This window comes from Homo sapiens, chromosome 13 (genome assembly GCF_000001405.40).
Source record: "Homo sapiens chromosome 13, GRCh38.p14 Primary Assembly".
NCBI classification, from domain to species: Eukaryota; Metazoa; Chordata; class Mammalia; order Primates; family Hominidae; genus Homo; species Homo sapiens.
This window is the reverse complement of record NC_000013.11, coordinates 21582850-21610058: the sequence shown is the minus strand read 5'-3', so window position 1 is coordinate 21610058 and position 27209 is coordinate 21582850. Positions and strand designations below refer to the sequence as shown.

At 40.1% G+C, this 27209-nt stretch overlaps 1 protein-coding gene across 4 annotated transcripts in view, besides 7 other annotated features; it reads left to right on the top strand.

The window, feature by feature from the left end:
• Positions 5557-6175: an enhancer, noted in NCBI's record as "H3K27ac hESC enhancer chr13:22178023-22178641 (GRCh37/hg19 assembly coordinates)". NCBI's record gives its function as "activates a minimal SCP1, AML or CMV promoter by ChIP-STARR-seq in primed H9 embryonic stem cells {active_cell/tissue: H9 hESC(primed)}" and the evidence as "EXISTENCE:reporter gene assay evidence [ECO:0000049][PMID:30033119]".
• Positions 5706-5775: an enhancer, noted in NCBI's record as "active region_7439". NCBI's record gives its function as "activates an Ori minimal core promoter by ATAC-STARR-seq in GM12878 lymphoblastoid cells {active_cell/tissue: GM12878}" and the evidence as "EXISTENCE:reporter gene assay evidence [ECO:0000049][PMID:35858748]".
• The window catches only part of MICU2 (mitochondrial calcium uptake 2), a 111480-nt gene continuing 90159 nt past the window's right edge, over positions 5889-27209 (top strand). For 3 of the 4 annotated variants that reach the window (NM_152726.3, XM_047430143.1, XM_047430141.1), the window contains exon 1: positions 5889-6120. In NM_152726.3, coding sequence (NP_689939.1) covers positions 5911-6120 — 210 coding nt within the window. In that variant the 5' untranslated portion in view covers positions 5889-5910. Of the gene's footprint in view, positions 6121-7240; positions 7316-27209 lie in introns of all 4 variants that reach the window. The other variant, XM_047430142.1, reaches the window with a different exon arrangement.
• Positions 5946-6155: a silencer, noted in NCBI's record as "silent region_5164". NCBI's record gives its function as "represses an Ori minimal core promoter by ATAC-STARR-seq in GM12878 lymphoblastoid cells {active_cell/tissue: GM12878}" and the evidence as "EXISTENCE:reporter gene assay evidence [ECO:0000049][PMID:35858748]".
• Positions 6176-6795: an enhancer, noted in NCBI's record as "H3K27ac hESC enhancer chr13:22177403-22178022 (GRCh37/hg19 assembly coordinates)". NCBI's record gives its function as "activates a minimal SCP1, AML or CMV promoter by ChIP-STARR-seq in primed H9 embryonic stem cells {active_cell/tissue: H9 hESC(primed)}" and the evidence as "EXISTENCE:reporter gene assay evidence [ECO:0000049][PMID:30033119]".
• Positions 13607-13656: an enhancer, noted in NCBI's record as "active region_7438". NCBI's record gives its function as "activates an Ori minimal core promoter by ATAC-STARR-seq in GM12878 lymphoblastoid cells {active_cell/tissue: GM12878}" and the evidence as "EXISTENCE:reporter gene assay evidence [ECO:0000049][PMID:35858748]".
• Positions 14480-14539: an enhancer, noted in NCBI's record as "active region_7437". NCBI's record gives its function as "activates an Ori minimal core promoter by ATAC-STARR-seq in GM12878 lymphoblastoid cells {active_cell/tissue: GM12878}" and the evidence as "EXISTENCE:reporter gene assay evidence [ECO:0000049][PMID:35858748]".
• Positions 15290-15359: an enhancer, noted in NCBI's record as "active region_7436". NCBI's record gives its function as "activates an Ori minimal core promoter by ATAC-STARR-seq in GM12878 lymphoblastoid cells {active_cell/tissue: GM12878}" and the evidence as "EXISTENCE:reporter gene assay evidence [ECO:0000049][PMID:35858748]".

The following is a 27209-nucleotide window of genomic DNA, read 5'->3' as shown; positions in this document are numbered from 1 at the left end:
TGGAGAAAAGCCAGATCCTGCTGCCAGATGCCCAGCCTCCTGCCCTGCTGATGGCCTCTGGGTGGTGGTGCCGACACCACGTGTTCACACCGTGCTGTAGACTAAAGACAGCTAACCAGCAGACTGGCTTTGGGGAAAAGGAATGAAAGATGAAATTGAAATTTTCATTTGGGTTTTTAAGAAACAATAAAAATGTCAAAGCATTTGCATTTACTTAGTGGCTTGGTCTTCTGCATAGTTAAGAACAGGCTATTAAATTCTGGATGTCTCAATGCACAAGAATACACATCACAGACTTGAACATTTCTGCAGAAATCTTGGGATCAAGGAACATTTCATGAAATTATTTAGATCTTGTCCCTTGCTCCTCTGGATGTGCTGTCTTTCTTAACTCTTCTCTGTCACCATCTTTGATGTGCTTGAGATGTACATTTTACAGCTGAAAAGGAGCAAAGGAAAGAAAGTGTGAATTGTCTCCTTTGGTGGGCTACACCGAACTTTGGAGATATTATAACGGATTTTAAAATACCAATCAAATTCTTCTGACATACACAATCTGTTCCATAAACGTGTTTCCAGAAAAAATATTTTTTTGCAACCTCAAATGTTGTGCTGTCACTAATTTTCGTAAGTGTACTTTATGAGAACACAGATCCCTCTCCCTGAGATGTGGAAGTGTTACACAACACTCATACAACAGACTTTTTAATCTTCTTTCTGTTAGTGTCCCCCCAGCCTCCTAGCATTTTCAGCAATTTACACAACTTTTTTTCTTCAGTAAATGTTTGTTTCCATTGGATTATAAGCATTATTAAGAAATACAAAAACAAAATATTGGTGTGTGGGTTTTCTTTTTATGAGCACTCATCTTTTAAAAATCCATAATGAGCTGGCCACAGTGACTCATGTCTGTAATCCCAGCACTTTGGGAGGACGAAGAGGGAGGATCACTTGAGGCCAGGAGTTTGAGACCAGCCTGATCAACATGGTGAAACCTCATCTCTACAAAAAATACAAAATTTAACCAGGCAAGGTGGCACACGCCTGTAATCACAGCTACTCGGGAGGCTGATGCACGAGAATTGCTTGAACCTCTGAAGCAGAGGTTGCAGTGAGCTGAGATCGCGCCACTACACTCCAGCCTGGATGACACAGTGAGACTCTGTCTCAAACACACACACGCACACATACACACAAAATAAAAAATAAAAATAAAAATACATAATAAAATATGTAGAATAAAATTATATGAGCCTGGGGGCTATGCCAACATAATCTAACTGAGGGAAAAGGAGAAGGTGGAGATGAAATAAGACTGGCCATGAGTTTGTAATTGTGGAAGTCCAGCTCTACTCATCATTCTAGTCTAATTTTATATATATTTGAATTTTTCATAAGAAAAAGCTAAAAAAAGACAAGTATAATGGTTTCATTACCTCAACTAATAGTACAGTCACTCCCTCCATTCAGATTAATATATTTTTGTGAGGTACCTTTTTGAGCTATGACAGTCATCAAAAACTAATGTATAAATTAACTCAACATAATACCAGACCTTCTATCTCATAAAACCTAAATCAGCATTTTCCAAGTTAATGAAGCCAATTTAATCACATAGATCTCACTAAAATACTAACAGTTTTAGAATAAAACATTCATTGCATCTTTAATAATAAAAATACAATTTTATTTTGTAAATACTAATTCATCTTTACATCACCATTTACATTCTTACTATGTGGCTTTTAACATTTAGTTGTAAATGTGTAGATTTAAGAAATAAGCATACATAAATGGCAGGTTACATACTTTTAAAAGTTTTCAGCATAGAGGGCATAAGCCAATGTGTGAGACCACAGCCCGTGCCCAGGAAGCTCTATCCTATTTGTGCTTGTTGTCTCCAACGTGTGGTCCCATGCCTGGCACATATTTCACATTCGATACAGTTTGTCAACTGAGCAGAAAAAAAAGACACTTCGGAGTGGCATACAAAAAGAATTTTAGAAGTGTAAAAATAAACCAAAACCCATCTCCTCATTTTCCAACTGGGAGACAGAGGCTTAGGAAGGGTAAATCACAGAGCTAATGGATGTATGGTGAAAGAAATGTTTTAGGAAGATTGATCTAACATAGATCTGTGGGATGCTTCAGAGAAGAGAAAGACGAAGCAAAGGCACATGTTAAGAGATGGTCACAATAATCACAGGGCAAGGTAATGGGAGCTGCACTGCGAGGAAGGGAAGGTAATAAGATGCAGACGAGGATCTGAAAGACATACAAAACGCTCCTCTGGGCACTGCTTTCTCACTGTCAGTAAGATTTCACTTTAACCTATTTCTACACATGCTGGTATCAATCACGATACCCAGATATTTTTACTCATGGCCCCAAACTGCACAAAAAGACATAATTAGCAGTTCTTTTGACTCATTTAGGGCCTCTGAGAGTGATTCATACCCTCTGCTACACAATTATCCACCATAAATATAGTTCAACCTCTGACTATTCCAAGCAATGGTTCTTTATAATATCCATGCATATGCTTTTTACTTCATTCCTATAGGAGTCCAACCTCTTTAACTAATCTTTTGAGATCTCCCATATTTTTTCTCCTCCACCTAAGATAATCTGTCTCAGTGCACATTATTCTGGAATAGAGCAGTAAACAATCTTTCAGAATCCAATAGCAATTTTTGTTTTTCTCCCCACACATGCTAAGATCAAAGATGTGTTTGAGTTAATAATTTCTTCTAAAATGGAAATACAAAGGAGTAGATATCTTCAGTAAAAAAACTAGTTGACCTCTTTTGTTCAAGACCAGTAACCCAGAGGGAATCGAAGTTTTGATTGTCAGTAAAAAGGACAATAATTTGAAGAAGCGTGTGGATAGCGGCTAAGAAAGGCCAGGATAAAGTCCGGGCAAGCAGAAGAAATACACTGGTGGAGCATCTGAGATTCAGAAGAGGAGCTCAGCCTCAAGGCGGGTGGGGACGCTGAAAGGGAAGCATGAATACGCCAGTGACAAATGTGCAGAGGGTCAAGGGGGCTGACAACTGTTCCACAGACTGGAGATCATTGTGTGGCCCCTGCCTGGCCCTCAGGACACTCCAAGCCAGTCCCCAGCTAGCCCTTCTGCACCAAGCCTGTCAGCACACACTGTATGCACCCTCCCCCAGGCTCTCACCCTGCCTCAGACCCCAGCAAGTTCCAGATCAAGTCTTCTGTCTTCCCTAGATGCTTTTCTGCCTGTGCCAGCCCACCTCACCCTTGCTTCTCTGTACAGTATAAAAGTCAGAGACAATTGTTTTGAAATTCAAGCCTAGCCTCTCCAGTGAAAATAAAGCTCCTTAAGAGCAGTTTTTCTGACATATCACTTTCGTTCTTCTTCAGAAAAAAAGAGCAGGAGTAAGTGAATTAAGAATACTTTGAAACAATAAGTATTTCCATCCTGTTTTCGTCCAGTTATTTAAAACAGCATACAATGTACAGCTTTAGAAGCAGCTTCTTATTTGGGGGTTGGTTTATAAACTGCATGGTTGAAAATACATCCCAGCCCAGGACTTTACAGCTGATGATGAAGAAATGAACAAAGCTGGAGCCCAAAAAGACCAATATAGTCAATGTGCTTAGACAAATGTCAGCAGCTGCCAAGGAAGATTTCATACTTAGAATGGTTATTCGACTAGAGATTGGTTCTATTATAAGAATTTGTTTCCTCTGCATAAGAAAAGTTTGAATACATTAAATTATAAGTGAGAGTTCTAGATGCCTGGGCACATAATGAAAATTTAAAAAATAACTAATTACACTGTTTTCCAAGTGGGTTCAAAGATTTTTGGCAAAATAAAAAGAAGCTTTTGTTTTGAAAATAAAGTACCCCAAAGGAATAATATACTTCTGTATTTTGGATGGCCAAAGCATAGAAATATGAACCCCTGAGTTTCATTTGTGCCATTTATTTATTCACTTATTTACTCACTCATTGAATGTCTATTACGTGCTGGGCATTGTGCTAGGTGCTAGAGAAACAGGGAAAAGGAAGACATCTCACCCACAAGGATGTCAAATTGTGGGAGAAAGACAATGTTCTTAAATATGCTACATGTTTTAATGGGAATCTAAACTTATCTTGGGCTTAAGGCAATACTGAGTAATAGATGCCAGGTTTCATTAAATACCTAGAGGAACTGTGTGAGGCAGTTAGAAGTATACACGTAAAGACTGTGGTTTCTGGAAATCAAGAATAAACTACAAGGTAAGACATCCAGGGTGTCCAAAATATCCTGGAAGTCCTATTATCACCAGGAAACAAGCTAGATGTCAATAGTCCAGAAAAGCAGGACATGTGCCAAAGCTACCAGAGTTAGCAGAGGTGAAAAACAGTCCAGAGGTTGACAAAGTCAGGCTAGATACAAAAAAGCAGGAAAATCTCAGGTTAAGATGGGCTAGTGATCTGGAATCATGGACATTCAGTCAAGCTCATTTGTGTTCACAGGGCAGAAGTAAACCAAACCTTGACCACAGTAAACGCACATCTGTCATGAGCCTACCATGTGCCAGGCATTTGGCTAGTCACTTTATATAAAATATCTCATTTAGCTTCCCCACCCCAAACTGTAAGAGGGTTGTTCACAGATGAAAAAATTGAGACTCAAAGAGATTAAATACCTTACCCCAAATAGCAGTGATCATCTACCAAATCGTGAGTTATTTACAAATGAGAAAATGGAGACTCAGAGAGATTAAATAATTTGCCCCAAACCACAGTGATCATCCTGGTAGAGCTAAGATTCAAACCTTGAGGTCTGGCTCACAAGTCGGTGAAGTGAGGCTCATCTCTCTACTTCCTACCTGGGAAGGCACACTGAAAAGTAAGTCCAGAAGCTGACGGAAAAGTGAGGAACCTCTGACTGCAGATTAATTTAGACAAGCGGGCTAAGAGAAAGGGAGCAAGGATTAAGGGCAGATAATAACAAAGGGATCCACGGAACTTCCACTGAATGATCAAATTAGATTTCGTGTGACAGGTTTTTGTTTTTGTTTCTTGAAGTTTTGTTTTGTGCAAAACTTCAAGACAGCAGTGATTATGTGATTAGGAGTCTTGGCCCCTTTGATGTTGGCTCCGTTACTGCATGCCCAACTAAAGCTTCTAATAGCTGGGGACATTTCAGAGGCTGAACAAAGAGTTTATTAAAAAGAGTTACTCAGGAAAAGTGAAGACCAAAGAATGGAGGATTGGAGGCTGTTAAATAAAACCAAGTAGTCTGCCTCAGCTACATCACTTATCACCAATGCAACAGCCAGGACTGGAGGTATCGTTCTAAATCTGCACTGGGGAAAACCTCTGGGTCCCTGATGATAGAGACATGGGGCTGGTGTGCTGCTGTCTCTGACTTTTAGTTCTAGGTAGGATAAGAGCTACTATCAAACCTTTTGTTGAAACTGAATTTAAATTCATTATAAGCAAATAGTGAGGGACTGAAATAAACAGAATGCCTTGTCTGAGAGTTGTTTTAGCAGAAATGAAAGAACAGTCAAGACTATAAGCATAGGAAGACATGAACAACACAGATGCAGAAGAGACTATTTCAAAAAACGTTTCACAGTTTTACAAGGTGAAAAAATGAAAAGGAGAAACCTGCCCACACAACCGAGGGCACTATCTTGTTTTGGACTAGGAAGTCATATTATACTGTCTTGATACTCTTCCTGTCATCCCATCCCCACAGCCTTAGAAGGCAGCCCCGGAACCGAAGGCCACCTCTTGCGGCTGCGAGCGTCGCCTCAGCAACCGCACCCACGGCGCAGGCCCGGTAGGCGGGGCGGAAGCCTGTCGGATGTCGCGAGAGTTCCCAAGCGGTAGGCGGCGGCGCCGGGAGAGAAGCGCCGCCTAGCTGCGCTTCCGCAAAGATGGCGGCGGCTGCGGGTAGCTGCGCGCGGGTGGCGGCCTGGGGCGGAAAACTGCGACGGGGGCTCGCTGTCAGCCGACAGGCTGTGCGGAGTCCCGGCCCCTTGGCAGCGGCAGTGGCCGGCGCGGCCCTGGCAGGAGCAGGAGCGGCCTGGCACCACAGCCGCGTCAGTGTTGCGGCGCGGGATGGCAGTTTTACAGTCTCCGCACAGGTACAGGACTAACTCCTTCTGCTAGCCCCAGTCAAGCTCCTCCCTCCCCTGACGCCCTTAGGCGGGGAGTGGTTTGGCTCTGGGCGGCTCTCCCGGAGCCGTGGGTGGAGGTGCCGCTGCGGATCGGAGCGCCCTGCGACTGGTGGGACTCGCTCCTTCCTGGACCGGCCCCCGGCCTGAGTCCCCGAGGGCCTTCGAGGCTGGTGACCGGAGATTCTGCCTCCCTTGGGAGAACCCCGCGGACGCTGAACACCACGGCCCACAAAACTGGCCGCACTAATTTAGTGGTGATGAGTGTGGGCGTGTCTTAATTCGAGGCTCCTAATTCAGAATCTCACTGCGCCTCGCCTCTTGCTACCTCTCTGGTCAGTGAAGTGGCATTCACATCCGCAGGTGGTTTGCGTCCAGTTACCCCTGTGGGATATACCTTTGTTAAGCTTTGCAACTAAGTTTTACGATCTTTTCTTTGTATAGCATGATGAAGTTCTGTCGATTGCTTTTTTAAGTCACGAATGTGTCAGCCACAAAAATTAACCAGTTGATTTCCAGATTTTATTATCAACTTTAAGGAACATTATTGCATGATTATAAACCTTAATATCTTAGTGGACCATAAGTTCTAAGCAAAAATTGCTCCTAAAACCTCCATCTATTAAAGACAAGAGTCCGCCGGGCGCGGTGGCACACGCCTTTAATCCCAGGGCTTTGGGAGGCCGAGGCGGGTGGATCTCCTGAGGTCAGGAGTTCGAGACCAGCCTGGCCAACATGGTGAAGCCGCTCCCCACCCCAGCCCCGCCCCCCCGGTCTCTACTAAAAAATATAAACAATTAGCTGGGTGTGGTGGCGGGAGGCTGAAGTAGGAGAACCGCTTGAATCCGGGAGGCGGAGGTTGCAGTGAGCCAAGATCGAGCCATTGCACTCCAGCCTGAGCTACAAGAGCGAAACTCCGTCTCAAAAAAAAAAAAAAAAGATTCAAGTTCCCTATTTCAGGATAAATGATGTTGTAACGCATTTGAAAATTTGAATGAGTAGTGCTTTAAAATTTTTGTAGACTTAGTAAGTTTTTACATATGAGCTTTTTTGAAAATTGAAAGTAGTAGTTTATTATTTTCTTTTTTAGATTTACATTATGCCTTTCTAGCGAAAAACTCAAGGAACATTCAGATACAACAAAAAAGAGAGGAAAGAAGGCCTTGTGAGTTAAAATTAAGTATTGGCAACTGATATTCCTTATTTGTATTAACATACATTATAATTATATTGTAAACATATATAATGGAAAGATCTATTATCTAGTGTTTTTATAGCATTTTTGTGAATCTTGTGCCAAGGAGTTCAGTGTATTCATCATTAGTTTCTCTCCCCTAGATTCATCCTGGTTTTTTTGTTTGTTTTTTGTTTTTGTTTTTGTTTTTTTTGAGAGGAGTCTCGCTCTGTCGCCCAGGCCGGACTGCAGTGGCGCTATCTCGGCTTACTGCAAGCTCCGCCTCCCGGGTTCACGCCATTCTCCTGCCTCAGCCTCCCGAGTAGCTGGGACTACAGGCGCCCGCCATCGCGCCCGGCTAATTTTTTGTGTTTTTAGTAGAGACGGGGTTTCACCGTATTAGCCAGGATGGTCTCGATCTCCTGACCTCGTGATCCGCCCGCCTTGGCCTCCCTAAGTGCTGGAATTACAGGCGTGAGCCACTGCGCCCGGCCGATTCATCCTGTTTTTAAGACCCTTAGGTTAATCTTCTCCGGAGTATCACTTTAACCACACAGTGTACCCTTCTTCAGAAACCCTTCTTCAGTGTCTCATTTTGCCAAGAGTAAAATGCACTTTTTTTTTGTTGTTGAGATGGAGTCTCTGTCACCCAGGCTGGAGTGCAGTGGCGTGATCCCGGCTCACTACAACCTCTTAACTCCCCGGTTCAAGTAATTCTCCTACCTCAGCCTCCCAAGTAGCTAGGATTACAGGCATACGCCACCACGTCCAGCTAATTTTTTTTTGTATTGTTAGTAGAGCCGGGGTTTCACCATGTTGGCCAGGATGGTCTCGATCTCCTGACCTCGTGATCCGCCTGCCTTGGCCTCCCAGAGTGCTGGGATTACTGGCGTGAGCCACAGCGCCCGGCCAAAATGCACATTTTAAAACTTTGTCTTTCAGAGCCTTTTATAGTCACACTCTGACCTGACACTACTCAGGCACCTTCCCACTAAAGTGATTCACTCACTATCCCTAGAACAAGACTTAAATACCGCTCACCCGCCAGCTGCAATTTGTAGACTCTTGATTTCACTTATCCATCTAATTGTTTTTTTTTTTTCTGGCCCACTTCTAATCTTTCTCCTTTGAAATCCCTGACTTGATTCTAAAAGCTTCACACTAGTGTAGTTATTTTGGATTCTCTTCCCAACTCTCAGCTCTCCTTCCCTGCAGCTTTGTAAGTTTAATCTTAGCTAAAGTAATACAGAAACCATTTTATTATCAATCGTTTTATAAGGTCTGTTGGCATAGCATTTGCCTGATCTGCTATTGGACCGAGACAGTGGTTCTCATCCTTTTGCCACCACGGTGGACATTCCTTTCAGCATCAGTGGCTGAATACAGGAAGGATTGAGAGGACCTATAGGTTGAAAACTTTGCCTTCGCCTCAGTGATTTTGATACATTTCCCTAAGAAGTGGGCCTACTACCACTACTTTAGGGACAGGTGTGCATAGTTGAGCTAGATATATACCAGAATTTTGGCTTGTGATGAATCTTTCATTGCAATAGAATTTTATGCATTAATATAGTTACATTGGTATTCCAAGTTGGTAAACTCTTCCTGACGCGGCCCTATAATAATAGTGAATATGTCCGGCCGGGCCTGGTGGCTCACGCCTGTAATCCCAGCACTTTGGGAGGCCGAGATGGGCGGATCACGAGGTCAGGAGATCGAGACCATCCTGGCTAACACAGTGAAACCCCGTCTCTACTAAAAATACAAAAAATTAGCTGGGCGTGGTGGCGGGCGCCTGTAGTCCCAGCCACTCGGGGGCCTGAGGCAGGAGAATGGCGTGAATCTGGGAGGCGGAGCTTGCAGGGAGCCGAGATCCTGCCACTGCAGTCCAGCCTGGGCGACAGAGCAAGACTCCGTCTCAAAATAATAATAATAATAATAGTGAATATGTCCTTCATTTTCAGTCATTACACTAAGTGCTTTTTTCCAATAAAAATATAAATTTATATTAATGGAGTCCTACACTTTTCTAGTTCCCATTGTGACCAACAGCTTGCATTTGTGAGGGTCAGTCGGGAATTAAGGGTAGAGTTTCATGTCATGAAACAGTAGATAAATTGGAACCTTCCTTTTTTCTTTACTTTCTTCCTTTCACAAGTTTTGAAATCTTACTCTGTGCTAGACAATATGCCAGGAGCAGGGATTAGAGACACAGTTTATGTGCTTACAGTTTAATGGGGAACGGCAGTTTTAATACAATGTGATAAATGCTGTGGTAGGGTTAAATACTGGGTGCTGTGGAAGCATAGTGGAAGAGTATTTCACAAAGTCTTGGTTTCCTGAAGGAATTATGTGTAGGTTGACACCTGGAGGGTGACTGCAAGTTTGCTAGGCAAAGAGAAGGGGAAGAGTTTTCTAGGCAAAGGAGATAGCTTTACAGAGATCTGGAAGTAAGAGTTGGACTCAGCAGAGTAAGAGCTGCAAAAGATGGGGTTCAAAATTGGGTGTGAGCAATGGCTGGGAATCAGATCATTAAGTGTCCCATAAGCCATGTGACAGGAATTTTTATCTTGAGGACAGCAGGAAGCCATTGCAGGATTTCTTAACCCTCATGGACCCCCATATGTCCATGCATAGAATTTAGGGGATCCATGAACTTAGAAAAAAGATTACATTTTTGTTTTCATTGACAAAATTTCATCGACAAAAATTTTGTTTCATTGTTTTCATAAATTGTTTAATGTTTTCTTCATTTAATGAATGTAGGCAACAAGCTATAGTGGTATTACAGTAACTGCCTTTGTCATCAACAGAAATCTCAGATATTTTCGTACTATATTAGAGTTGTTGTAAGTATCTCAGAGTATCACTTCTTCAAAATGAAAACACTTTTTAAACCTGCCACCATATCATACTATTTAATGCATAAATAAGTCCATGTAATACTATGTCACAAATTTGTTTCTGACCTTTGGAAAGAGTATTGGGACTTTAGTAAAGGGAGTGAATTGAAAACTAGATTTAGGGAGCTGTTGCAATAATTCAGGAGAGAGTTGATGATAGCTAAATTAGTGGATGAATTCAAAAGACATTTAAAAGATAAATTCGTAAAGACTCTGAATTGCAAGTCTATGTATGGTGTTGTTATACCTGGCCAACAAAATAGTGCCTCCTACAAAGAAATTCTTAGTGGAACTTGTTTTAGATCATGTTAGCACATCAGTTATTTCTATGTAAACTGCTGCTTTTAAAACAATATTTGAAAACTTTTCTAAGCTTTTAGTATTACTCCCATTACAATGTTATATTTGATTCAGACATGTAAAATCAGAAATCATAGAAGGGAGGAGACAGACTTATTCTGTTGTTCCAGTCCATTCTGCTATAAAAGGATAGCTTCATTCTTAAGCCTTGATACATTTTTTGAAATTATAAAAAGTTATTTCAATGGAGAAGGGAGGTTTAGGAACTAGAGAGTTTTAGAGTTGCAAAGGTATAAGTGTACTTCTTTCCTGCAGGAATTTAAATAATAAAAGTGTTAAGGCAGTGGTCCCCAACCTTTTTGGCACCAGGGACTAGTTTCATGGAAGACAGTTTCTCCACTGATGGAGGTGGGGGTGGTTTTGGGATGCAACTGTTGCACCTCAGATCATCAGGCATTAGTTAGATTCTCATAGGAGTACAGTTCACAGTAGGTTTTGCGCTCCTATCAGAATCTAATGCTACTGATCTGACAGGAGGTGGAGCTCAGGTGGTAATGCTCTTTTCACCTACCACTCACCTCCTGTTGTGTGGTCCGGTTCCTAACAGACCATGGACCCTTACTGGTCCATGGCCCATGGGTTAGGGACCCCTGTGTTGTGGTTACTATTGTATTTCCTTATTATAAGCTAGAATCATATATTGGCAAATCCAAACTGATTAAAACAAACCTCCATTTCACTAAGTAGATACTCAACAGTAGATGATGAGACTAAAAGTAAAGCTTTCTGAACCATTACTTTTTTTTTCTTTTTTTGGAGATGGAGTCTTGCTCAGTCACTCAGGCTGGAGTGCAGTGGTGCAATCTCGACTCACTGCAACCTCCGCCTCCCGGGTTCAAGCAATTCTCTGGTCTCAGCCTCCCAAGTAGCTGGGACTACAGGTGAATGCCACCACGCCCAGCTAATTTTTGTATTTTTAGTAGAGACGGGGTTTCACCATATTGGTCAGGCTGGTCTCGAACTCTTGACCTCAGGTGATCCGTCCGCCTCAGCCTCCTAAAGTTCTGGGATTACAGGTGTGAGCCACCGCACCTGGCACCATTACTATTTTAAGTCATTGTAATAATGCCCAAAACTGGGGAAGAAAAGTAAAAACAGCAAAGCCAAAGTAAAATACAATATAGTTCACAGTTGACAACAGTGATATCAGTGATATTTTATTTGTTATTGTTCACTCGTTAATTGCATGAATATTTCATTTACTCCCTAAATTTTCTTTCCAAATTATACGTAATATTGGATACTTTAGTTTTTTTTAATTCATAACAGGTTTTTGTTGTTGTTGTTTGCTTTTCAATAGAAAATTTTTCCACTACTGTTTGAAAAATAAAATTATTTTGCATAGCATTCTCTATAATGCTGTATTTTTTAATCTAAATAAATACAAATTCCTTATTATACAAATTCATTGATATTTTCTTTGATATGTTTATTTACATTTGTATTTATAAATACGTAAAAGTCTTCTCTGTTATCAGTTGTTGTTTTTTTCTTTCATAGTACTTATCGCTCTTTGAAATTCTTTTTTTTTTTTTTTTTTTGAGACAGAGTCTCACTCTGTTGCCCAGGCTGGAGTGCAGTGGCGTGATCTCCACTCACTTCAAGCTCCACCTCCTGGGTTCACGCCATTCTCCTGCCTCAGCCTCCCAAGTAGCTGGGACTACAGGTGCCCTCCATGACGCCCGGCTAATTTTTTGTATTTTTAGTAGAGACGGGGTTTCACCGTGTTAGCCAGGATGGTCTCAATCTCCTGACCTCGTGATCCACCCGCCTCGGCCTCCCAAAATCCCTGCTGGGATTACAGGCATGAGCCACCGCGCCCGGCCCTGAAATTATTTTATATACTTGTTTATTTCGTCTCCCCTTACTAGAATGGCCTCTTGTCTTTTTCATCTCTGTATTCTTAGTACCTAGAATAATCGCAGTCACATAATGTCACATCATAAATGTTTATCTAGGGTGAATGAAAGAACTGAAATGCATTAAATAACAAAGTGACCTTCTCTAACTTCGGTTTGATTGGCATTTATAGAAATATTAGACAACCAATATCTAGAAATGGTTAGAATCAGCTAAGTTACTAACTGTCCCAGATATATTAAATTACACACTTAGAGCCATAGAGACATGTCATCCCATATTCCCATTAGAAAACATAAGTAAATAAGAGACTTCGCTCTTATCTGCTATGTCCCAAGGGCCTAGAAAAAAGTCTGGCACATAGTAGGTGCAGTAAATATGTATTGAATGGGTGAATTAATTGATGACATCTATAATGTTTTAATAATAGATATACCTTTGTCTCTGAAGTTTAAAGATGGGTCAATTTAACCTGTGACTACATATAAGATAGCATTTTTAATATATATTATTAACATTTATATTTGTCTTTATATAGCAAGATTTTGTCCTTTGCTATCACATTAAAATATCAAATATTCATTTTAGAATTTAAGATTATATTTTCATTTCAATTATTGAGATGCTTCAACTGGTAAACCTCAAGCCAATTAAATTATTTTTAAATTTGGAAAATAATCCTGACATGGCAAAAACCAACTATATTAATAAACTATTTTTGCATTTTAGTCAAATGCATGTTACACATTTTACACCAACTGAAGATATAAATATAACAAGCTCTGTATCTTAACAATTGGCTGAAAATCCTCTTAGCAAGAGAATGGCTTTGGTTTACATACTATGTGTTTGAGGTAGAGAGTAAGCCCTATGAGAACCTGAATGTGAGGCCGGGCATAGTGGCTCATGCCTGTCATCCCAGCACTTTGGGAGGCCGAGGCGGGTGTATCGCTTGAGATCAGGGGCTTGAAACCAGCCTGGCCAACGTGGTGAAACCCCATCTTTACCAAAAATACAAAAATTAGCCAGGCATGGTGGTGCATGCCTGTAGTCCCAGTTACTTGGAAGGCTGAGGCAGGAGAATCACTTGAACCCCGGAGGCGGAGGTTGCAGTGAGCCAGGATCGCACCACTGCACTCCAGCCTGGGTGACAGAGCCAGACTCTGTCTCAAAAAAAAAAAAGAACCTGAATGTGGCTGACTTAGGCTTCAGGGGTGAGAGAAAGCTGCTTTGCATAATGCAAGCAGAAGAATTTGGAGCATATAAGGAAATGTGGGGGGAAGTGAGTCCTGGGAGTGGAGATGGAGGGAGAAGGAAGGACAGGATTGGAAAAGCAACTCTGTAGTCTTAAGATCTCCCCTTCTTTCAGCCCATCTTAAGTAAAGCCTAGCAAATGCACAAGTGCTTTGATAGAGTTGCACAAGGCTCCCGTGGTTTTAAGCAGAAGTAGCACTGAATGGAAGTGACAATCAAAAGAGGAGACGTGGAGAATGTAAGTACCTCCATTGCAAGTACCTCCATTGCAGTTCTTAGCAACACTCCTGGAAGGATTTTGAATATTACTAGATTGTGAAATTAAAGGTAGGATTTATCTCTATCAGAGTCCAATAAGGAGAAAGAAATCAAACCAGTAATTTGAAGAAGGAAATTTAATGTAAAAAAGTAGTAGAAGGTGATTGACTACTAAGAGAGTAATACTCACAGGGGTCCAGAAGTAGCAGGTGTCAAAAAGTAGCTACTGCCTATAGGCTGAAGGAGAGTGGACCGTGAAGGAACTAAAGACTTAGGAGAGGTATCCTCCTCCACCCCAAAGCAGGGATTGAGCCTTTTCCAAGAGGCTGTGCCTATCACAAGAATATAAAGCCTGCTGCAGCTGAAGAAACTTGTCAGATGGCACAGGCCACAACTAGTCTGTAGAAGGAGCCTACCATTGGTGGAAGGGGTGAGTGGGCTGGAACTAGAGTACAGTATTGACCTGCTGGGTGGAAGAATGTGGCCTGAGGGCCTGGCTTAGAGCTACCACAGAGGTGGTGCCCTGGAGCAGCTCATAGCTGCAGCCTGGTGGGTTGTGTGTGGCCTAAGGGCCCCTGGAGCTGCCATGGAAGCTGTTCATTAAAGCTGTTTGGAAGCCACCCACCAGTGTGTCCTGAAGGTGCAGCTGAAGTCACTATGCCTGCCTACCAGTACTAATTGGAAGTGGTTCTGGCTGGTCTGTGAGGGCCTTTGGGCTCCAGTTCTGAATAACAAAAGGTGGACTGAGACCTGAGAGGAAAGTGCCTTTTTGGCTCTGCTGTCTTGCAGTGTCACTCCCATGCCTTCTGTGGACAGAGTTATCCCAGCTGGCAAAGGAGAAGAGTTTACAGAGTCCAGCTCTAGTATCACCAAGCAAAGAAGTGTGGATTTTAGCTGGGAGACAATAAATTGACAGCCGGTATACAGTTCTAGAGAGTTTCACCCAGGTTTCAAGAAGCAAGGAAACCCCCAGTTGACTACTTGTAATGGTACAGGGTAAAGATTTTCTTTTCTTTTTTCTTTTTAAGTTTCTGGTTTTTATTCTTAAAATAAAGTTTCTAATTTTGTCTTTAGTTGGTTTTTCTTTATTCTAAAAAACAAAACAAAAACAGGATACATGTGCAGAACATGCAAGTTTGTTACATCGGTATATGTGTGCCATGGTGGTTTGCTGCACCTGTTGACCCATCCTCTAAGTTCCCTCCCCTCAATCCCCACCCCCTAACAGGCCCGGGTGTGTGTTGTTCCCTTCTCTGCATCCATGGGTTCTCAATGTTCAGCTTCCATTTATGAGTGAGAACATGTGGTGTTTGATTTTCTGTTCCTGTGTTAGTTTGCTGAGGATGATGGCTTCCAGCTTCATCCATGTCCCTGCAAAGGACATGATCTCATTCCCTTTTATGGCTGCATAGTATTGTATGGTATATATGTACCACATTTTCTTTATTCAATCTGTCATTGATGGGCATTTGGGTTTGTTCCATGTCTTTGCTATTGTAAATACTGCTGCAGTAAACATACGTGTGCATGTGTCTGCATAGTAGAATGATTTATATTCCTTTGGTTATATACCCAGTAATGGGATTGCTGGGTCAAATGGTATTTCTGGTTCTAGATCCTTGAGGTCGCCACACTGTCTTCCACAATAGTTGAACTAATTTACACTCCCACCAATAGTGTAAAAGTGTTCCTATTTCTCCATAGCCTTGCCAGTATCTATTGTTTCCTGACTTTTTAATAATCACCATTCTGACTGGCATGAGATGGTATCTCATTGTGGTTTTGATTTGCATTTCTCTAATGACCAGTGATGATGAGCTCTTTTTCATGTTTGTTGGCCGTGTAAATGTCTTCTTTTGAGAAATGTCTGTTCATATCCTTTGCCCACTTTTTGGTGGGGTTGTTTCTTTTTTTCTTATAAATATGTTTAAGTTTCTTGTAAATTCTGTATATTAGACCTTTGTCAGATGGGTAGATTGCAAAAATTTTCTCCCATTCTGTAAGTTGCCTGTTCACCCTGATGATAGTTTCCTTTGCTGTGCAGAAGCTCTTTACTTTAATTAGATCCCATTTGTCAATTTTGGCTTTTGTTGCAATTACTTTTGGCATTTTTGTCATGAAGTCTTTGCCCATGCCTGTGTCCTGAATGGTATTGCCTAGGTTTTCTATTAGGGTTTTTATGGTTTTGGATTTTACATTTAAGTCTTAATCCATCTTGAGTTAATTTTTGTATAAGGTGTAAGGAAGGCGTCCAGTTTCTGTTTTCTGCATATGGCTAGCCAGTTTTCCCAGCACCACTTATTAAATAGGTAATCCTTTCCCCATTGCTTGTTTTTGTCAGGTTTGTTGAAGATCAGATGGATGTAGATGTGTGGCATTATTTCTGAGGTCTCTGTTCTGCTCCATTGGTCTATATGTCTGTTTTGGTACCAGTACCATGCTGTTTTGGTTACTGTAGCCTTGTAGCATAGTTTGAAGTCAGTTAGCATGATGCCTCCAGCTTTGTTTTTTTTTTTTTTTTTTTTTTTGCTTAGGATTGTCTTTGCAATATGGGGTCTTCTGTGATTGCATGTGAAATAGTTTTTGTGTTTTTTTTTTAATTCTGGGAAGAGTGTCAATGATAGTTTGATGGGAATAGCATTGAATCTATAAATTACTTTTGACAGTCTGGTCATTTTTACAATATTGATTCTTCCTATCCATGAGCAAGGAATGTTTTTCCATTTGTTTATGTCCTCTTTTATTTCATTGAGCAGTGGTTTGTAGTTCTTCTTGAAGAGGTCCTTCACATCCCTTGTTAGCTGTATTCCTAGGTATTTTTATTCTCTTTGTAGCAGTTGTGAATGGGAGTTCACTCATGATTTGGCTCTCTGCTTGCCTATCGTTGTAAAGGAGTGCTTGTGATTTTTGCACATTGATTTTGGATCCTGAGACTGCTGAAGTTGCTTATCAGCTCAAGAAGTTTTTGGGCTGAGATGATGCGATTTTCTAAATATAAAATCATGTTGTCTGCAAACAGAGACAACTTGACTTCCTGTCTTCCTATTCGAATACCCTTTATTTCTTTCTCTTGCCTGATTGCCCTGGCCAGAACTTCCAGTACTCTGTTGAATACGAGTGGTGAGAGAGGGCATCCTCGTCTTGTACTGGTTTTCAAAGGGAATGCTTCCAGCATTTGCCTATTGAATATGATATTGGCTGTGGGTTTGTCTTAAATAGCTCTTATTATTTTGAGATATGTTCCATCAATACCTAGTTTATTGAGAGTTTTTAAACATGAAGGGATGTTGAATTTTATCAAAGGCCTTTTCTGTATCTATTGAGATAATCGTGTGGTTTTTGTCTTTGGCTCTGTTTATGTGATGGATTATGTTTATTGATTTGCGTATGTTGAACCACCCTTGCATCCCAGGGATGAAACCGACTTGATCGTGGTGGATAAACTTTTTGATGTGCTGCTGGATTGATTGGGTTTGCCAGTGTTTTATTGAGGATTTTCGCATCAATGTTCATCAGGGATATTGGCCTTATGTTTTCTTTTTTTGTTGTGTCTTTTCCTGATCTTGGTATCAGGATGATGCTCTTCATAAAATGAGTTTGAGAGGAGTCCCTCCTTTTCAGTTACTTGGAATAGTTTCAGAAGGAATGGTACCAACTCCTCTTTGTATTTCTGGTAGAATTCAGCTGTGAATCCATCTGGTCCTGGGCTTTTTTGGTTGGTAGGCTGTTAATTACTGCCTCAGTTTCCCAGCTTGTTATTGGTCTATTCAAGGATTCGACTTCTTCTTGATTTAGTCTTGGTAAGGTGTATGTGTCCAGGAATTTATCCATTTCTTCTAGATTTTCTAGTTTATTTGCGTAGAGGTGTTTATAGTATTTTCTGATGGTAGTTTGTATTTCTGTGGGGTCAGTGGTGATATCCCCTTTATCATTTTTCATTGTGTCTATTTGATTCTGCTCTCCCTTCTTTATTCTAGCTAGTAGTTTATCTATTTTGTTAATTTTTTTTCAAAAAACCAGCTCCTGGATTTGTTGATTTTTTTTTTTTGGAGGATTTTCTTGTCTCTATCTCCTTCAACGCTTCTCTGATATTAGTTATTTCTTGTCATCTGCTAACTTTCGAATTAATTTGCCCTTGCCTCTCTAGGTCTTTTAATTCTGATGTTAGGGTGTTGATTTGAGATTTTTCTAGCTTTCTGATGTGGGCATTTAGTGCTATAAATTTCCCCTTTATCATTGCCTTAGCTGTGTCCCAGAGATATCTCTTTGTTCTCATTGGTTTCAAAGAACTTGTTGATTTCTCCCTTAATTTCTTTATTTACCCAGGAGTCATTCAGGAGCAGGTTGTTCAATTTCCATGAAATTGTGTGGTTTTGAGTGAGTTTCTTAATCCTGAGTTCTAATTTGATTGCACTGTGGTCTGAGAGAGTGCTGTGATTTCAGTTCTTTTGCATTTCCTGAGGAGTGTTTTACTTCCAATTATGTGATCAGTTTTAGAATAAGTGCCATGTGGCTCTAAGAAGAATGTATATTCTGTTGATTTGGGGTAGAGAGTTCTGTAGATGTCTACTAGGTCCACTTGATCCAGAGCAGAGTTCAAGTCTTGAATATCCATGTTAATTTTCTGTCTCATTGATCTATCCAATACTGACAGTGGGGTGTTAAAAGTCCCCCACTAATATTGTGTGGGAGTCCAAGTCTCTTCTCTTTGTAGGTCTCTAACAACTTGTTTTATGAATCTGGGTGCTCCTGTATTGGTGCCTATATATTTAGAATAGCTCTTGTTGAATTGTTCCCTTGACCATTATGTAATGCCCTTCTTTGTCTTTTTTTGTCTTTGTTGATTTAAGGTCTGTTTTGTCAGAGACTAGGATTGCAACCCCTGCTTTTTTTTTTTGCTTTCCATTTGCTTGGTGAATTTTCCTCCATCCCTTTATTTTGAGCCTGTATGTGTTTTTGCACGTCTCCTAAATACAACACACCGATGAGTCTTGACTCTTTATTCAATTTGCCAGTCTGTGTCTTTTTATTGGGGCATTTAGCCCATTTATATTTAAGGTTACTATTGTTACGTGTGAATTTGATCCTGTCATCATGATGCTATTTAGTTATTTTGCACACTAGTTGATGCAGTTTCTTCGTAATGTCATTGCTCTTTATATTTTTGTGTGTTTTTGCACTGGCTGGTATCAGTTCTTCTTTTCCATATTTAGTGCTTCTTTTTGTTTGTTTGTTTTGTGTTTTTTGAGACAGAGTCTCGCTTTGTCGCCAGGCTAGAGTGCAGTGGCGCGATCTTGGCTCACTGCCACCTGCACCTCTTGGGTTCAAGCGATCCTCCTGCCTCAGCCTCCTGAGTAGCTGGGACTACGGACAAATGCCACCACACCTAGCTAATTTTTTGTATTTTTAGTAGAAACGGGGGTTTCACCATGTTGGCCACGATGGTCTCGATCTCTTGACCTCCCAAAGTGCTGGGATTACAGGCGTGAGCCACCACGCCCGACCAATTCTTATTTTCTAACCTTTTAACATTTTCAGTTCCTGGGTGTGAAGAATAAGAATAGGAACATGTTTTAATGGATGTTTTATTTTGTTTAAATTTTGAAAGTGACCACAAAGAGAAGATTTATTTTTAAACAAGATATTTGATATCGTGCTTCTTTTAGGAGCTCTTGCAGGGCAGGCCTGGTGGTAATGAAATCACTCATCATTTGCTTGTCTGGAAAGGATTTTATTTCTCCTTCGCTTATGGAGCTTACTTTGGCTGAATATGGAATTCTGGGTTGAAAATTATTTTCTTTAAGAATGTTGAATATTGGCCCTCAGTCTCTTCTGGCTTGTAGAGTTTCTGCTAAGAGTTCCACTGTTAGTCTGATGGGCTTCCCTTTGTAGGTGACTTGGCCTTTCTCTCTGGCTGCCCTTAGCAGTTTTTCCTTCATTTTGACCTTGTAGAATCTGATTATGTGTCTTGGGGTTGGTTGATCTTCTCATGGAGTATCTTAATGGTGTTCTCTGTATTTCCTGAATCTGCATGTTGGCCTGTCTTGCTAGTGTTATATATAAAGTTTTGGTGCTGCAAAAGAAATAGCACTCAAATATAAAATTTTCTTTTAATTCTCAGCAAGGCAAGGTACTTCTATAGAAGGGTGCGCCCTTACAGACGGAACAATGGTGAGCGCACACTTGGACAAGGGAGGGAAAGAGGTTCTTATCCCTGACGCACGTGACCCTTGCTGCTGTATTTTTCCATTGGCTAGGGTTAGACTGCACAGGCTAAACTAATTTCAATTGGGTAATTTAAAGAGAGTGCACTACGGGGTGAGTGGTTTGGTGGGAAAAATGGTTATGACAGAACAGGTGATCAGAATCATGAAGTCAGGGTGGAATAGGTAATCGGAAGGAGTCAGGGTGGAGCAGGTAATCCGAATGAGTCAGGGTGGAACAGGTGATTGAAATGAGTCAGGGTGGAGCAGGTAATCGAAAAAGGTTGCTTTATGAGGAAGTTAAGTTTAAAAGTAGAAGGCAAAGAATTGAACATACTGACATATTGATTCTTTGAAGAGAAATTTAGAACTCATATCTAACAACCCCTACCCTTGTGTTTCCTTAACAGCTTTCTTTTCAAAGTTTTTTTAACATGTCTTGGCTTAGTTGTTTTGCTTGATTTTCCAAAAGAAGAAGCTTCTCTGGATAAGGTGGAGGATAGTTAAGGGAGGTTTTAGTAAGTGCCGTTTTTATGAGCCTCTGCACCAACCTACGGATGTATGGTATGACACAGCACCTGACAAGAATAAGTACACCCATTACGGCTGTGAGGGAAGTAAGAATTGAGGCTATTATTCCTTTCCATTTACCAAACCACTTTTCTAGCCATCCTGTAAAGGGGTCATTTACCCCTGAGTTGCAGGCTAACTCATTGGGTAGAGAAGTCAGACCTTGCAGTACCTTTGTTATACTTCCATTAGGGGCAGTGTTGTTTAGGATGAAGGTGCAACATTGAGTTTTAATCATGATGCAAACTCCTACTCTTTCTGCTAATATCATGTCTAAGGCTATCTTATTTTCCCAAGCCATCTGGCTAGTAGCCCTTAATTGTTCAGCTTTCCTTTAATAGCATTTTTAGTGTAGTTAATAAATCGCTGTTGGTTGTAGTAGATGTGGTTTATCTAATCTACATTTTTATTGTTACCTATCAAAATATTGACTTAAATCCTGCAGCTATTTGATTTTGGGCTTTAAATTGATCTGGTATTCCCCGCGAGATTCTAATTGTGTCTAAACAGACCTGAGAGTCGAAAGATCCAAGGGGCTTCTCTTGCTTTACGATGTCTTATTTTTCCTTCCTCTGGTTGATGAGATGCTAGGGTGAAAGGGATAGCCAACTGGACTAAAGCACAAGTGCCACTTCTGGTTATTTGGCAGAGTGTCCAGTAAAGGTCCACCACAATACCACCACACATCCGCTTGGGGATGAACAAGGGCTGACTCATTGATAAGCTCTTGAAAATTCTTAAGCTCACTGCATCCTTCCAGTCTCCAAGGAATGCTAAATTTCCTCCCTGTCATGAGAGACACGAAGTGAACTTAGTGTTGGGAGATGGAAGCTAGATGGCCCTTGGGGGCTGACCTGCAGGGTGCTGGACTTCGGGATATAGCAGAGAGAGCTTGGGATGACTTATTACTTGAGGCTGTAGGGTCCTGGAAAAGAACTACCATGCAGCCCACGCCTGGTCAACTGGAGGACCACCTTAGTGGAAAGGGGACAGTTTGGGCCTCTGGCCTGCCATGCACACAAGCATAACAATTGTTTTGTTTAACGTGTGGATGGAATATTTGATCCATTCCAACCAGGCATTTGCATCTTGGTATCCTGTCTTAATTGCCAAAGTTTGTTTTAAGTCTTTAACTTCTATGATCCTCTAGTAAAATGAATGTATGATTTTAGGAAATTACAAAAACCGGTTGGGGCAGTCCATCCTTGCTCTTTAGTGGTCCGCAGAACGTTGGACCAACTATGGCATAAAAGCTCTACATCGGGGGGCAAGACTCCTGGTTGACACTGGGGTCTGTATTGAAATGCTGAATTTGATATTATTTACTTAATAAAATTTAAGTTGGATGTCTTCATGTTCAGAGAAAGCAGAATGCCTCCACCTATGCAGTTCAAAGTCTGACTTCTTTGAATCTATCAAAAAAGAAAAATCAAGATTCAGTATTCACTGAAATGTCATCTACTTAAAGTGCACATTTAGTTTTTAGTATCTTATAACTACCATTCTGAAGTACTTATACCTAACTATTCAGCTTTTATTCATCATTTTACTAATACTTAGTATAGTCCCTAGTTCATCATAGGTACTAATTAATGACTGTTAAGTGAGTGAGTGGTTGAATGAATGGTAAGAGTGTCCAGCTAAAGCTGTGCTTAAAATGACTAAATTCACTTCGAAATCAGCATGCTTTTCCTCCGATCTATAATCCATTCGTATTGTTCCTATGCCTACTTGCATTTGCAGTTTTAAAGCATTTTCACCTATCATTGAGTAGTGGCTATCTCCAGAATCTTCCTTAATTTAGGTTTGGTTAATGTTTCCTCATGATTCATGCACTTTTTTCACAAATAACACTAAAGCCATGCTGTGTCCTTTTCAGTGCATCATATTAGGAGGTAAACAAATTAGATTTCTACTGCTGATAATTACAATTACTTTTATCATTTGGTAAGAAGACATCTGTCAGGTTTCTTCATTAAAAATTTAATAAGTACTTTATACTCATTAATAAGTATTTTGTGGGGAGATAATTTTGTGGCTTCATAGGGCTTTGTCCTCTCCACTGTTTACTCATTTATTCATTTATATCTACGGACTCATGGATTCCCATTTTACTCAAAGAGTCCATTTATTTTGATACTCAATTGCCCCATATGTAACCAGTCTCCTGAAAGCTGGTGCCTTGAATACTCGGTTCTCTCCTCCCCTCGTCCCTGGCAAAGGGGAGGAAGGAAGAGAGGGTGCAACCAAGTCTTGATTAACCCATCTGAGAGAGGAGAGCTTTTAGCTTTGATGTACAAAATGACAGATAATTTTCCTAGGATATAGATTATACTCTCTGGAATGTCAGACAAATAATAATGGGAAAGAGGGAAGAAGATGCCTGGGAGAGCAGCTTCTAGGAAAACAAAATTAAGCATCTTCTCTCACCAACTTTAATGCATCATTTTTACATACTATATTTAAATGTTTGTATATTTATGCTGACCTTGATACTAGAAAGATTTAGTGACTTAGAAAAATGCTGCGCAAGTTAGAATTTTTAAATGGAGAGAAAAATGAGAGTAATAAACATAAGCTTAAGCTATAAGGAAGACTAAAATATATGCTGTAACACGCCAGGTGTGTTGGCTCCCTCCTATAATCCCAGTGCTTTGAAGGCCGAGGCAGGAGGATTACTTGAGGCCAGGAGTTTGAGGCCAGCCTGGGCAATACAGCAAGATCTCATCTTTACAAAAAAATAGAAAAAAAAATGGCCAGGATTGGTGGTGTGCATCTGTAGTCCCAGCTCTTTGACAGGCTGACGTGGAAGGATCTCTTGAGCCTGGGAGGCTGAGGCTGCAATGAACCATGATCACACCGTTACATTCTAGCCTAGACGGCAGACCAAGACCCTATCTTTAAAAAAACAAACAAAAAACACAAGTAGAAAAGTTGGATTTTCATAGCAGCAGGGATATTTTTTCTGTTGCAACAGGAATGAAAGCAGAGGGTATAGTAAATTCTAGAAGCTGATTATAGACTAATTCTACATTTTCCTTCTATTAAAAAAGGCTTAAAGAAAAAAACGGATAGTGAACTGCTCTGAAAAAGTAGATTCAGGGATCTGTAATCATCAGAGGGATCTTAGTCTGCTACTGGAGCGGGTAACCCAGATAGTTAGGGGGAGAGGGGATAATTTACAAAACTGTGAAACTGAACCATGAGAGCTGAGATGCAACAATTATGATAAATATAGGACCAATTGCCACAAACTTCTAATGGCTTTCTTCTAGTGAGTCAGCTAATTGGGGTTTTTTAATGTTGCTGTAAAGTATTATCTAAAAAATGTTTTTTCATAAACCTTGGTATTTGAGTTTAATACAAGTAATATATTGGGCATTAAATTTAAAAATTGTCAAAATTCTAAAATAGAGAATACTAGATGGTTTGCTTTTCTTTGATATTATTTAAATTCATATTTTGAACTCATTTTTTATTTTGTGAGTACAATCTGACTAAAAGAGATGATTACAGATGTTAAATAAAAGCAAGAAATGTGGACCGTTATGTTTAAACAAGCAGAACTATATTATTAATAACTTAGGAAGTGAATTTGCAGTTTTATTAGTTGTAGAATCTTTGTCTATTGCATGTCAGTGAATATTTTAAACACTCAATGTAGTTAATAAGATGGATCTATTTGAATTTGCTATAAGAGCCCTAATCATAAAATTAAATTGGCATTGTTTTCTTTTATTTCAAGCTGTCTGACCATAGATTTGTAGTGATTATTTTTGTGAAAAAGAAAAAATATATATGCTAATAGGACATTAACAGTAGGTAAAACTGGAACTTATTGGAGTGTACTGCTAGTATATTTGTGTGCAGTGCATTGGTTTAATGACAGTACATGTAAAATTGGTAGGCCAAGAGCAGTAAACTTTATAGCAACATACAGAAGTTTAATAACCATGAAACATTGTAATCCCAGTGAAGACTAAAGCTTTCTTGCAACAGTAAAGGAAGAATGCAAAGAAGTTTTTATACTTTACTGCCTCAGGTAAAAATATCTGTAGAAACAGGTGATGACAAAGCTATGATGTTAATAAACCCAAATGGAAGTCAAAAATCAAAGTTGTAAATGGCTAGATTATGAAAAGAGAGATGACAAAGTTATACCCTGTAATTAGATGTAATTTGTGCTTTTGGCATAGCTGTTTGTCCTGCATGAATGAGAGGTTGTCTTACATTCCTTCATTGTGTAATAGGACAGTAGTTAACGATCCTACTGTAAATCTATACAGTGACTCTTCTGGGGGAAAGAACAACAAATTGTAACAGCAAAGTATATTTAACCTTTTCTTTTGCATTTATATTGTTTAGTGGAATCCAAGTAAATATTACTGTTTGTTCTTGTTCTATAAACCATGTGTTTTAGTAGCTAATATATACAAATTATGCTTCTGTTACTGTGAATTTTGGGGTTTTATGAATTACAACAGTGCATAAACACACCATAAGCCACTAATAGTAGCAGTATATGAATTTAAATGTTTTATTTATAGTTTAAAAAGCAGTAAATATTTGGTAGAGTAAATTAGTAGTAAATATATTGTCTCAATAACTTCATAAATAACATTATTAAATGTTTTCAGAGTATAAGTAATTTCAATATAAAAATAATAATGAATCATATTTTTTAAGTATAGCCTGGACTTAAAATTTTCATAGACATCTATGAAAGTTCCATAGATATGTGGTTCCATAGATAGTTCATAGATATTTCTAAGGAAATAAGGTGTTATAAAATCTGAAATTTATCCACATGGATATCATTAACTTTGTGTGTTGTGTACTAGAAACTTGTATACCTTAAGATCGCAGGCATCTTTGTCCTCAGTCCCTCATCACTTAGCTGTATGTACCCTGGAAATGCAAACCTTTTTTTTTTTTTTTGAGATGGAGTCTCGCTCTGTCACCCAGGCTGGAGTGCAGTGGTGTGATCTCGGCTCACTGCAAGCTCCGCCTCCCAGCTTCACACCATTCTCCTGCCCCAGCCTCCCGAGTAGCTGGGACTACAGGCGCCTGCCACCACGCCCAGCTAATTTTTTGTATTTTTAGTAGAGACGGGGTTTCACCCTGTTAGCCATGATGGTCTCGATCTCCTGACCTCATGATCCACCCGCCCCAGCCTCCCAAAATGCTGGGATTACAGGCGTGAGCCACCGTGCCTGGCCAGTGCAAACCATTTTTAAAATTAGGCAAAATGAACCCTTAAATATGAAAGCACAATGTGTTTCTACAAACTGTTCCAGATATTTCAAAGGAAAATATGAATAATGCAGCACATCTACTGTTTGAAATTATGTCATTTTTCTTATTCACTAGTATATGCAATTAGAAGATTATATACAGTGAGAAGCTGTAAATGGGTTGATTTCTATGTTTCTTAAATGTCAGGAGATTAAATCACACTGTTGTTTTAAGGACAAAAACTTTTTCAGTTTAACTTGGTCATAATTGCCCAGTTAAGAAACCAGCTCAAATCAGCACATTTTCAATATGGCTCTGCCTCCATTCAGGCCCAGTCCTGGGAAGTTCTGGAATGCTTGGAATGCTCCAGGATTGAATTTCAGGTCAGGGAACTGCTCTTTCGGTGATGGTAGTAGTACTGCTTTGACTGTTGCTTTAGCGGGAGCCCCATGCATGGAGCTGTGACTGCCCTACTGCAAAGGAAAAACAGGAAACAGCTGAGCACTTCCCAAAGGCTCATTTAATTATCAGATGATAACTGATCCAGCAGCCTACATATGTTGAAGTATATATGAAAGACTTGTCTGTCCTAGTATTTCCTATTCTCAGACATACCAAGTGTAAGATACTTTAATGGCAAGCCAGAAAATAATGATTATGAGGAAGCATTGGGGTTCAACCAGGAAACCGTTGCAATACAAAGGCAATCAGTAGTGTATTTTACAGAGACACACTTTTATTTTTTAAAAAACTTAATACTGACTGATCACTTTTTATCAGTGATTGAAGCATGTTTATTTATTTAATACTGCAACTTTTTTGTTTTTGTTTTTGTTTTCTACTTATATAGACAAGGTCTCTGTCGCCCAGGCCAGAGCATAGTGGTGCAATCATAGCTCAAGGCAAACTCCTAGACCCAAGCAGGCCTCCCTCCTCAATCTCTCGAGTAGCTAGGACTACAGGCATGAGCTAGCCCAGCCTTTTTGTTTTTAAACTAGTACTTTGTATTTCATTAGTAGACTTGACCATTAGGCAGTGCTTAAATCCATCTTAAATTATAGTTGTAAAAAGATTGCTTCCTGAAACACTGAAGAAATGGTTATAAATGAAGTTTCCACGCTGCAAAAGAAATAGCACTCGAATATAAATTTTTCTTTTTAATTCTCAGCAAGGCAATGTACTTCTACAGAAGAGTGCGCCCTTACAGATGGAACAATGGTGAGCGCACACTTGGACAAGGGA